The sequence below is a fragment of the Homo sapiens genome, chromosome 7, assembly GCF_000001405.40.
Source record: "Homo sapiens chromosome 7, GRCh38.p14 Primary Assembly".
NCBI classification, from domain to species: Eukaryota; Metazoa; Chordata; class Mammalia; order Primates; family Hominidae; genus Homo; species Homo sapiens.
Genome location: NC_000007.14, coordinates 114,167,758 through 114,180,161, shown reverse-complemented (window position 1 = coordinate 114,180,161; position 12,404 = coordinate 114,167,758). Strand labels below are relative to the sequence as shown.

Genomic DNA, 12,404 nt, shown 5'->3' with positions numbered 1-12,404 from the left:
CATAGCAGTCTAAACACATGCAATTATATCCACTCCTTCCCAAAATACTAACGCAGTGACAGTACAGAAGAGGTGACATCCACTAAGGTAGACCAACATACCTGTTATGTACTACATGGTCTAGCATGGATCCTCAAAGTTTTTCAGGTAATCAGCCAGTACTTTATTCAATCATTCAATCCCCCACCTTGTAGAAAAGGAGACTGGTCCAAGAGTCAAGAATGTACAGAAGAAAATACACAGGAGTTACAGTCCAGAAAAAAAATTCTCAAATCTGATGATAGTCTCCTTGTTAGCCTCAGAAAGAACTTCTAGTAATAGTTATATTCTACATGGATTTTGTAAAGATAAATAAGAACTCACTATAATAATCTGGCCACAGTTTTTTGGTTTGCTCTTTATGTTTAACACAATGGAACTATTTTTGACTTTTAAAAGATTATTATTTCCTTCAAGTATAGCCTTAAAAGATGTGAATTGTTCAACCATTTTAAAGTCTTCGTATTCCTTTCAACATAGTCTTCCAAAAGATTGCATTTAAAGGCAAAAGACTAACATTAACCTTGTGGTAAATAGACAACTTTCTTTTCTGAAAAACAATATTGAAATCAATTCATTCACCGAATATTTTTATTAAGGGCAGACCGCATGCCAGCACTACTCTATGCATTGAAAACACAGGCTTGAACAAGGCATGTAGGAGTAAACAAAATACTGAGTGGAAATGACAAGAGTGGGAAATAGTATGGTACCTTATGACACTGATTCTTAAAATCTACTAGAAAACAAAAATGTTTCAGGTAAGGATCTGCATATAAACAATACACACATTAGTATTCATCTCAATAATGAAACTGTTGAGAAATTATATTTCTTAAATTGCCTCAATTCATGATCTATATAGATTTAAATTCAAATATTGCTAGATTTAAAAATAATAAAAGCCAACAAAGTCAATCTCAGGTCACTTTAATCATAGGAAAAATATTAATAAAAGACAGAAATGCAATAGCAACATGATTTTACAACTGACCAACTAAACCAAAATTGTCCTTTGTACGAGCCTTCTTATAAATAGTTAAATATAAAAGGTTTGGAAAAGTTAAGATGCTGGCAATAATTGGGTACTCAGTTAAAATTTACCAATACAATTTTACTCTGAAAAATCTACATAGAATTTTGAGTTGATATTTGACTGTGTTTTGTTCATTCAAAATACATTTGTTTATGGAGAGGAGATTGTGTTGACGTTCATAAAGAAAAAGAGGGAGGGACAGTGACTGAAAGATATTCTGTGTAGGAATATGCATTCTCATCTGAACAGAGAAACTGGGGGTTGACTAGATCATCAAAACTAATTAAAGATCCTGGGTGGTGGAAAAATGGCATTGAGAGAAAATGAAAATTATAAAAAAAGAAATAGTAACACGTAAACTAATTAGATTTCTTTCTTTGAGACAAATGCTGACCTACCTTACTAATAGTGTCAAATTTGAGAACCTAGATTAAAGGTTTTGCTTTGGTCATTCTACCAACATTAACTCTGTCTGTTCTTACAGCTAATACAAGGAAAATATCTTGGCATTATCAAGTTAAAATTATAAAATACAAGCACATGAAATTTTCATAAAATTCAATGGGAGCAACTAGAACAAGTTGTATCTCATGTCACCATTTTGCTTAGAATCAAATCCTTTGAATGTCACAAAATGTGTATATCCATTAATTTAATTACATAAACTTTCCAAAGTACCTTGGTATGTAATGTCACTGGATGGTAAAATGTCAAGATGAAAATATATGCAATCACTATGTAATATAGGAAAAAAATAACTATCATAAAGAAGAAATGCTCAAAAATTTAAAGATCTTACCTAAAGATCTTGGGAGAATTTACATGAATTGTAATGGATTCCAGAGTGTGCATTTCATGGCAACATCATAATGAATAATGCAACAGAGAAAATAATAATGGAAGCTTTAATTTTATGCCAGGAGCTGCAAAGAATGTTTCATCTCTCCCTACTACATTTCCTACAAATTGTTATTAAGCTTTGCATAATACTGTTTTTAGAGAGGCATCATTACACTTTACACTTCATATGTATGATTCATAATAAAACCAAAATACCACTTAATGGTATAGCCCCACTAGAGAAAAATTTAGCAATATATTATATAAATAAAGATGCTAGGGGGAAAGAGGAATTGGGGAGATGTTGGTTAAAAGACATATAATTTCAGTTAGACAGAAGGAGTAAGTTCTAGAGATCTATTGTACATTATGTCTGACTATAAATAACAATATATTGTATACATGAAAATTGCTAAGAGAACAGGTTTTAAGTGTTCTCACCATGATAAAATATGTATGTGTGGTAATGCATAGGTTAAATAACTTCATTTAGCCAGTACACAAAATATACATATATGAAAATATTATGTCATACACCATAAATATATACAATCTGTACTTGCCAATAAAAAATAAAAACAAAACAAAAATATGTTATTGTCTAAAACTCATACATCCCACTTCAAGTTATAATCTTAAAGAAACTCTCAAATAGATGCACAAAACCATATATAAATAGATATATTCATTCAAGTATTATTTGATTGTAAAAAATGGAAAGCAATCAAATTGTCCATCTACTAAGGAAGGGATTTATAAATAAGCATGCTTTATTCAAACTATAGAATGTTATAGAGCAGTTAAAAACAAATGAATTATTACCCACCCAGAAGACAAAAATAAAAAAGACAACCTAAGTGTTGACAAAATGTGGAACAACTTAAACTTTCACACATTGATGGTAGAAGGGTAAACTGGAACAACTGCTCTAGAAGACTGGTTGGTAATGTCTACTAATGATAAAAGCATTGGACAGATAACCTATAATACAGGCACTAAGTTGACACTATGCTATAGATACCTGATAATACAAAAATTCTACTCCTAGGTACACAGGTAAATGTAACATGTAAAAGATGTGTACAATAATCTTCAGAGCAGTATTATTCCTAATAGCCAAACACAGGAAAACAAACAACCAAAATGCCCCCAAATAGAATGAATGTAAGTAAATGGTGGCATATTCATGTGATTATGGATAGCACTCAGGAGAGACACTTAACTATACACAATAACAGGGAGGAAGTTCATACAGCTAATATTGAGAAAAAAAGCCCAGACACAGAAGACTATACCAAATGATACCATTTGTATAAAGTTCAAAATTAGACAATACTAATCCATGTTGTTAAGGGTAAGAATATGGTTACCCTGGGGTAAGGACTGGAAGATAGTAACTAAAAGGCAGATAAAGCATGGTGGGACTTTTAGAGTACAAACAAATGTGTTACTGGAGCTAGGCACCGGTTACACAAGTGTGTTCATTCTGTGAAATTCTTCAAGATGTGCATTTATGATTTGTGCAGCTTTCCATATGTAAGTTAAAATTCAATAAAAGCTTACAAAAAAAAAAAAAAAACAACCTAAGAAATCAGACATGGGCCAGTACAGTGGCTCATGCCTGTAATCCCAACACCCAACACTCTGGGAGGCCAAGGAGGGCAAATCACTTGAGACCAGGAGTTCAAGACTAGCCTGGGCAATATGGTGAAATCCCGACTCTACAAAAAAATACAAAAATTAGCCGGGCGTGGTGGTGCGCGCCTGTAGTCCCAGCTACTCAGGGGAGCTGAGGCGAGAGGATTGCCTGAACCTGGGAGGTTGAGGCTGCAGTGAGCTGAGACTGCACCACTGCACTCCAGCCTGTGTGACAGACTGAGACCCTGTCAAGAAAGAGAGAGAGAGAGAGAAAGAAAGAAAAAGAAAGAGAGAGAGAGAGAGAGAGAGAAAGAAAGAAAGAAAGAAAGAAAGAAAGAAAGAAAGGGAAAGAGAGAGAGAGAAAGAAAGAAAGAAAAGACAAGACAAGACAAGACAAGACAAGACAAGACAAGACAAGACAAGACAAGAAAAGAGAAATCAAACCTGTGTGGATCAATGTTTATAAATCCCCTAAACATAACTTTGAAAGAAAAAATTTTCAGAGGTAGATTTGATATGATGCTGCTAATATAAATTTTAAAATCCCCAAAAACAAAAATGTGAGAATACAGATAAACACTAATTCAATATAGTAAAATAAATCTAGGGGGAGAAAAAGGTACAAGATCAGAAGACACAACATTTACTATTTTGTGGCATTATAGTTCTTAAAAAGAGTGAGATCTGAAGAAATAAAACAAAATATTAATATGTCAAGTTTGAATATGAGTACCTATTATTTCATTTTCTGTATGTTTAGAATATCTCAAAATACAAATCTTACAGAAAGCTACCACTTTGGATTCTACAGGGAAGAGAATCGTTAACATAATTTTCAATGAAATACATTCTTACCCAATTTGTCCAGATCAGCAGATCAGCAAATGCTTTTTTTATAGCTACCATTATCTGAGATGGTTGATGTGTATTTATTTTAGGTAAAGATGTTAGGTCTTAATACACTTAATGCATTTTGGACAAACCTAAAATATACACCATATGTAGAAAAATGTTACTTTCTTATTTACAAAACAAAAATGTGAGAGCTTTTAGGTTATACAATAATAAAATCACTAAACATTTAAGAGAGTTAAATGAAAATGGTCATTAGGTCATGTATGTGAAGAATATATACTTTCAAACTATTCTATAGTGTCTGACCCAAAACCGCTTTGCTACTCCTTAACATTGTTACCCATGGCTATAACAAAAATGAGTAATAATCATGGTATGAGTCGAGTTGTCAACTCCACAAAACCAGATCATAGATGCATCCACTAAAAAAGAATTACTCATTCTAGAAATACTTAGTCCCTGGTCCCAGATAACACAGCATCCTTAACACATAAGTGGACTTAACGAGTAAGTAGATTTGGAGGCTACCACCCATTTTGTGTTTAGCAAGTTTTGTCTTTACCATCTTGTCTTTATAACCAGAAGAAATATAGAGAAAACACAGGTTTTAAGTAGTTTGCGTTTGAAAAAAAAAATCACTTAAAATCAGGCTTTTGTAATAAATACTTAGCTTGATGGATTTTATCCCTCATTTAAGCATTCTGCTTCTTTGTTACAACCCTCTCTTTAGTGTCTGAGAGCAGCCAATTAGTTAAGATTTGAGGTAGTTATTCAGCAGTCACAAGATTCAAATTCAGATAAGATATTTAGGCAAGATATACAGGCTACTTTCTTAGGATAGTAACAGCTGCTTTTGCTAGAAAGCCTACATCATTATAAGAGAACATGTAGTATTATGCTTCATTTTGTTGAATTACTATTCTACAAAGATAAAGATCCAAATCAGTTATGAACACATTCAGCTGTACAAACCTTCTCAGGAAACTGGTGCCTTGCTATTTAGTAAAACCTGAATGAAACAAACATCAATTTTTAAGAAAGATTCAACTCCCATCTTGCATTTTTCCATCTTGTCAAAACTGACACTTCTCTTTTTGGACATTTAATAAATAAATTACCTTGTTTCTTATATTCCCATACATCTCAAGTTGACTAATGCACATTTTTCTGAACACTAATCAAGATGGAGCAGTATATTATTCTGTGAATTACATGTTGAAGAAGAAGAAAAAAGCTATTTCTCCAATGCCTGCTGGGAATTTGTAGAAGAAACATAAATATCTATCAGATCCCCTTTTAAGGATTTATAAATATTCCAGTTTTAAAAATTCAGGTTAACATAAAGTTACAGAAATACTAGGACACAAAAACATAATAACTTTTAAAATAACTTTACGTGGTGAATAAAATCCCTATTTCCTGAATTCAACAACTATATCATTCCTATAAGAATTCTTTCCCTCTGAATTTAATAGAATAAGTGGCTACATAAAATATTACACAATACAGGTTAGAGAGAGAGAGAAGACAACAGACACATAAGTACATACATAAGTATGTGTGGGAGTACAAACACATATATACACATAAGCATACACACACATTTATTTATTTGCACACTTATCCCTACATATAGAAAGAATAAAGGGCAAAAGAGAGACTACTACCATCAAGTAAGTGCCAGCTATGTGTCAGGTATTTTAAATATTTGATCATTTAAATTTTATATAACCAAATAAAGAAATTATTATTAGTATTTTTTTTTCACATGCAAAACTTACCAAAAATCAATATAAATTCTAACTGGCAGAGCAAACATTTGAACCCAGGTCTGCAAATGCAAAAATGGGGCTCTTTTCTCCACAGTATGCTTAAAATAAGTTTTAGATAGACTATAAGCATTGCTTTATTCTGCTTTAACACAGAAAAAATCATTCTGGCACTAGAAAGAAACATAGCTGGTTTTTAAAACAAAATCTGATTTTATTCCCAAAATTTCAATATGGCAAAGGAAAAGTTGCTACAAAGATAATTCTTAGTTGAATATGTTCAAAATGTAATTCCTTGGTAATCTGGGCTTTGGCCAAGACAAATCAAAATCATAGATATCTTACAAATGCCAAGTTTTCAGAGAAACAAAAAAAAAAATAAATGCAATAGCAACAGATGCATTTTCCCTAGACATTTGTGTTGAGCCTAGCTATATCCAGAGCCTGAAGAAAAGGGAGATTTTTTATATTTCATTTTTATGAATAATAAATTCCTGGTTTTTCTTAATGTCAACCAACTAAATAAGATGACGTTCACTCCTGGGAAAATTAACCACCTGAAAATATGGAAAAAGAAAGAAGAAAGTAAAGAAGAAAAAGAGAAAGGGAAGGAAGAAGAAGAAAAAAAAAGAAAATGAAAAAAGAGACAAGAAAACACCCCATATCTGGTACTTTTTAAAACTGAAAGTGTATTTTAAAATTTCACGTCAAAGAAAGAATACGAAGATAGTCTTTTTCATTTTCTTAACAACATACTAACATAAAATTAACAAAATAAAGTCCCACTTAGATTAAATATTAAGTATTTCTCAGAATGATAGACAACTGCATAAATTATATTAAAATTTAAGGAAAGAAACCATGAACAATTCAATAAAGATGAGTGGCTCATTACTATAGCATGGATATTCTTATATTTAATGTAATATATATCTATATTTTCATTTGAAACTGAAACATCTATATTAAAGACAAGTTTATGATAGATAAATAAACTGTGATTAAAAGTTATTAAATATATGGAAATAGACAGGTCCTCATCTATGGACATTAGCACTTTCCTGAAATAAAATACACTGCTTTGTAACATCACGAAATATTGTTTTTTAAATTCTATGTTTTTACCTTTGAATATTCAATGTTGACAGATCAAATTTGAAATTATCTCACTTTTTCTCAGAATTCTACTTAGAATCATTGAGATTGCCTTTTTAATTCTTTTTTACTTTGAATTACATTACACATGCAAAGAAGTATCTGAAATAAAGATGACAACTCAATGTTTTCTTTTCTTTTTTTAATTAATAGACTTTAAAGTACTCCTATAGATTTACAGGAAAATTGAGAAGAAAGTACAGAGAGTTCCCATGTATATCTTCTCCCACAACCCCAACACAAACCCAGTTTCCTCTATTACATTAGTGCGGTACATGTGCCACAACTGATGAACCCCTAACTGATACATTACCATTAACTAAAGTCCAGAGTTTATACCAGGATTCACTCTTTGTTTTGTACAGGCCTATGGATTTTGACAAACACATAATGCCATGTGTCCAACATTAAAATATCATAGAGAATGGCTGCACTACCATAAAAATCTTCTGTGTTCTGCCTATTTATTTCTCTCTCGCCCATAACTCCTGGCAACCACTGATAAGTTTTACTTTTGCCTTTTACAGAATGTCATATACAGGCATACCTTGGAGGTATCGCAGGTTCAGTTATCAGACTACCGTAATAAAGTATCACAATAAAGCAAGTCACATAAATTCTTTGGTATTTTCAGTGCATATAAAAGTTATAGGTACATTATACTGTAGTAGATTAAGTATGCAATAGCATTATGTCTTTAAAAAATGTACACGCCTTAACTTAAAAAATGCTTTATTGCCCAAAATTGCTAAGGGCTTATCCTTAGGAAGCAATTCCTCACTTATTAAAGTTTTATCATGAGATTGCAGCAATTCCATCACATCTTCAGGCTCCAATTCTAATTCTAGTTCTCTTTCTATTTCTACCACATCTGAGGTTATTTCCTCCACTTATGTCTTGAACCCCCCAAAGTCATCCAAAAGAGTTGGAATGAATTTCTTCCAACTCCTGTTAATGTTGATATTTTGACCACATTTCATGAACTATGAATGTTTTTAATGCCATCAGAAATCTGAATCCTTTCTAGAAGGTTTTCAATTGACTTTGCCCAGTTCCATCAGAGGAATCTACTACCTATAGCAGGTACAGCCTTATGAAATATATCTCTTAAGTAACAAGACTTCAAAGTGGAAATTACCCCTTGATCTGTGCGCTATGGAATGGATGTGTTAACAGGCATAAAGACAACATTCATCTCCTTGAACATCTCCATTGGAGCTCTTGGGTGACCAAATACATCATTTTTTATTCTTATTTTTAGAGACAGTCTCACTCTGTCACCAAGGCTGCTGTAGTAGTACAATAATAGCTCAACTGCAGCCTCCACCTCCCAGGCTCAAGTGATCCTCCTGCCTCAGCCTCCCAAGTAGCTGGGACTACAGGCACATGACACCATGCCCAGCTAATTTTTTAATTTTTTGCAGAGATGAGGTCTCGTTATGTTGCCCAGGCTGGTTTTGAACTCCTGGCCTCAAGTGTTCCTCCTGTCTTGGCCTCTCAAAATGCTGGGATACAGGTGTAAGCCACCATACCTGGCCCAGGTACATTATTAATGAGCAGTAATATTTTGAAAGAAACTTTTTTCCTGAGCAGGAGGCCTCAACAATGGGCTTAAAATATTCAGTGAACCATGCTGAAACATATGTGCTGTCATCCAGGCTTTGTTGCTTCATTTCTAGAGCAAAGACAGAGTAGATTTAGCATTTAATTATTAAGGCCCTAGGATTTTCAAAATGGTAAATGAGCACTGGCTTCAACTTAAAGTCATTAACTGCATTAGCCTCTAACAAAAGAGTCAGCCTGTCCTTTGAAGCTTTGACGCCAGGCACTGACCTCACTTCTCTAGCTAGAAAATTCCTAGATGGCATCTTCTTACAATAAAAGGTTGTTCTATCCACATTGAAAATCTGTTATTTAATGTAGCCAACTTTATCAATGATTTTAGCTAGATCTTCTGGATAACTTGCTGCAGCTTCTATATCAGCATGTGCTGTTTCACCTCAAACTTTATGAAGTTGGCTTATTTCCTTTAACCTCATGAACCAACCTCTCTTAGCTTCAAACATTTTTCTTGCATCTTCCTCACCTCTCTCAGCCTTTACCAAATTGAAGAGAGTTAGGGCCATGCTCTTTATTAGGCTTTGGCTTAGGGGAATGTTGTGGCTGGCTTGATCTTTTCTCCAGACCACTAAAACTTTCTTCATATCAACAGTAAGCCTGTTTCATTTTCTTATCACTCATATGTTCACTAAAGTAGCACTTTTAATTTCCTTCAAGAACTTTTCCTTTGCATTCAGAACTTTGGGCTGTTTGTCATAAGAGGCCTAACTTTCGGCCTATGTTGGCTTTCCACATGCCTTCCTCACAAAACTGAATCATTTCTAACTTTTGATTTAAAGTGAGTGATATGTGACCCTTCCTTTCACTTGAACACTTAGAGGCCATTGCAGGTTTATTACTTGGCCAATTTCAACATCGTTGTTTTTTAGGGAAGAGGGAAGGAAGCCTGAAGAGAAGGAGAGAGACAGGGGAAGGACCAGTTGGTGGAGCAATCAGAACACACATAACATTTACCAATTAAGTTTGCTGTTTTACATGGATCCAGTTTCTGGGCCCCAAACAATTATAATAGTAACATCAATGATTACCGATCACAGCTCACCATAATAGATATAATAACATGAAAAGTTTCATATATTGCAAGAATTACCAAAATGTGATACAGACACAAAGTGATCACATTCTGTTGGAAAAGCAGCTATATTAGTCCGTTTTCATGCTGCTGATAAAGACATACTGGAGACAGGGCGATTTACAAAAGAAAGAAGTTAAATGGACTTATAGTTTCACATGGCTGGGGAGACCTCAAAATCATGGCAGAAGGCAAGGAAGCAAGTCACATCTTACATGGATGGCAGCAGGCAAAGAGAGAGCTTGTGCATGGAAATTCTCATTCTTAAAACCATCAGATCTCCTGAGGCTTATTCACTATCATGAGAACAACATAGGAAAGACCTGTCCCATGATTCAATTATCTCCCACCGGGTCCCTCCCACAACACGTGGGAATTATGGGAGCTACAAGGTAAGATTGGGTGAGGACACACAGCCAAACCATATCATTCCAGCCCTGACCCCTCCCAAATCTCATGTCCTCACATTTTAAAACCAATCATGCCTTCCCAACAGTCCTCCAAAGCCTTATTTCAGCATTAACTCAAAAGTCCACAGTCCAGTGTTTCATCTGAGACAAGCCAAGTCCCTTCCCCCCATGAACCTGCAAAATCAAAAGCAAGCTAGTTACTTCCTAGATACAATGAAGATACAGGCATTGGGAAAACACAGCCATTCCAAATGGAAGAAATTGACCAAAACAAAGTGGATACAGGGCCCATGCAATTCTGAAACCCAGCAGGGCAGTCAAATCTTAAAGCTCCAAAATGATCTCCTTTAACTCCAGGTCTCACATCCAGGTCATGCTGATGCAAGAGGTGGGTTCCCATGGTCTTGGGCAGCTCTGCCCCTGTGGCTTTGCAGGGTACAGCCTCCCTCCCGGCTGCTTTCACCAGCTGGCATTGAGTGACTGTGGCTTTTCCAGGCACATGGTGCAAGCTGTCCGTGGATCTACTGTTCTGGGGGCTGGAGGACGGTGGCCCTCTTCTCACAGTGCACCAGTGCACCAGTAGGGACTCTGTGTGGGGGCTCTGACCCCACATTTCCCTTCTGCACTGCCCTAGCAGAGATTCTCCATTAGGACCTGTCCCTGCAGCAAACTCTGCCTTTGCAGGTATTTCCACACGTCCTCTGACATCTAGGCGGAGGTTCCCAAACCCCAATTCTTGACTTCTGTGTACCAGCAGGCTCAATACCACATGGAAGCTGCCAAAGCTTGAGGCTTGAACCCTCGGAAGCCACAGCCCTAGCTCTACATTTGTCCCTTTCAGCTATGGCTGGAGTGGCTGGGATGCAGGGCATCAAGTCCCTAGGCTACACCCAGCATGGGGACCCTGAGGACAGCCCATAAAACTACTTTCTCCTCCTAGGCTTCCTGGCCTAGGGGGAGGGGATGCCATGAAGACCTCTGACATGCCACAGAGACGTTTTCCCCATTGTCTTGAGGATTCACATTCAGCTCATTATGTATGCAAATTTGTGCAGTAGGCTTGAATTTCTCCTCAGAAAATGGGATTTTCTTTTCTATCGCATTGTCAGGCTGCAAATTTTCCAAACTTTTATGCTCTGCTTCCCTCATGAAATTGAATGCCTTTAACAGCACCCAAGTTACCTCTTGAATGCTTTGCTGCTTAGAAATTTCTTCTGCTAGATATCTTAAATCATCTCTCTCAAGTTCAAAGTTCCAAAAATCTCTAGGGCAGGGACAAAATGTCACCCGTCTCTGCTAAAACATAACAAAAGTCACCTTTGCTCCAGTTCCCAACAAGTTCCTCATTTCCTTCTGAGACCACCTCAGCCTAGACTTTATCGTCCATATTGCTATCAGAATTTTGGGCAAAGCCATTCAAAAAGTCTTTAGGAAGTTCAGAACTTTCCCACATTTTCCTGTCTTCTTCTGAGCCCTCCAAACTGTTCCAACCTCTGCCTGTTACCCAGTTCCAAAATAACTTCCACATTTTTGGGTAACTTTTCAGCAGAGCCCCATTTACTGATACCAATTTACTGTATTAGTCCATTTTCACACTGCTCATAAAGACATACCCAAGACTGGGTAATTTATACAGGAAAACAGTTTAATAAACTCACAGTTCCACATGGCTGGGGAGGCCTCACAATCACAGTGGAAGGTGAGGAGGAGCAAGTCATGTCTTACATGGATGGCAGCATGCAAAGAGAGAGCTTGTGCAGGCAAACTCTCGTGTTTTTTTTTTTTTTTTTTTGAGATGGAGTCTTGGTCTGTCACCCAAGCTGGAATGCAGTGGTGTAATCTCGGCTCACTGCAACCTCTGCCTCCCAGGTTCACACCATTCTCCTGCCTCAGCCTCCCGAGTAGCTGGGACTACAGGCACCCGCCACCAGGCCCAGCTAATTTTTTGTATTTTTAGTAGAGACAGGGTT

At 35.8% G+C, this 12,404-nt stretch overlaps 1 protein-coding gene across 1 annotated transcript in view; it reads right to left on the bottom strand.

Annotated features, from left to right (window-relative positions):
• The window catches only part of FOXP2 (forkhead box P2), a 607,439-nt gene that overhangs the window by 513,604 nt on the left and 81,431 nt on the right, over positions 1-12,404 (bottom strand). The window lies entirely within an intron of this gene.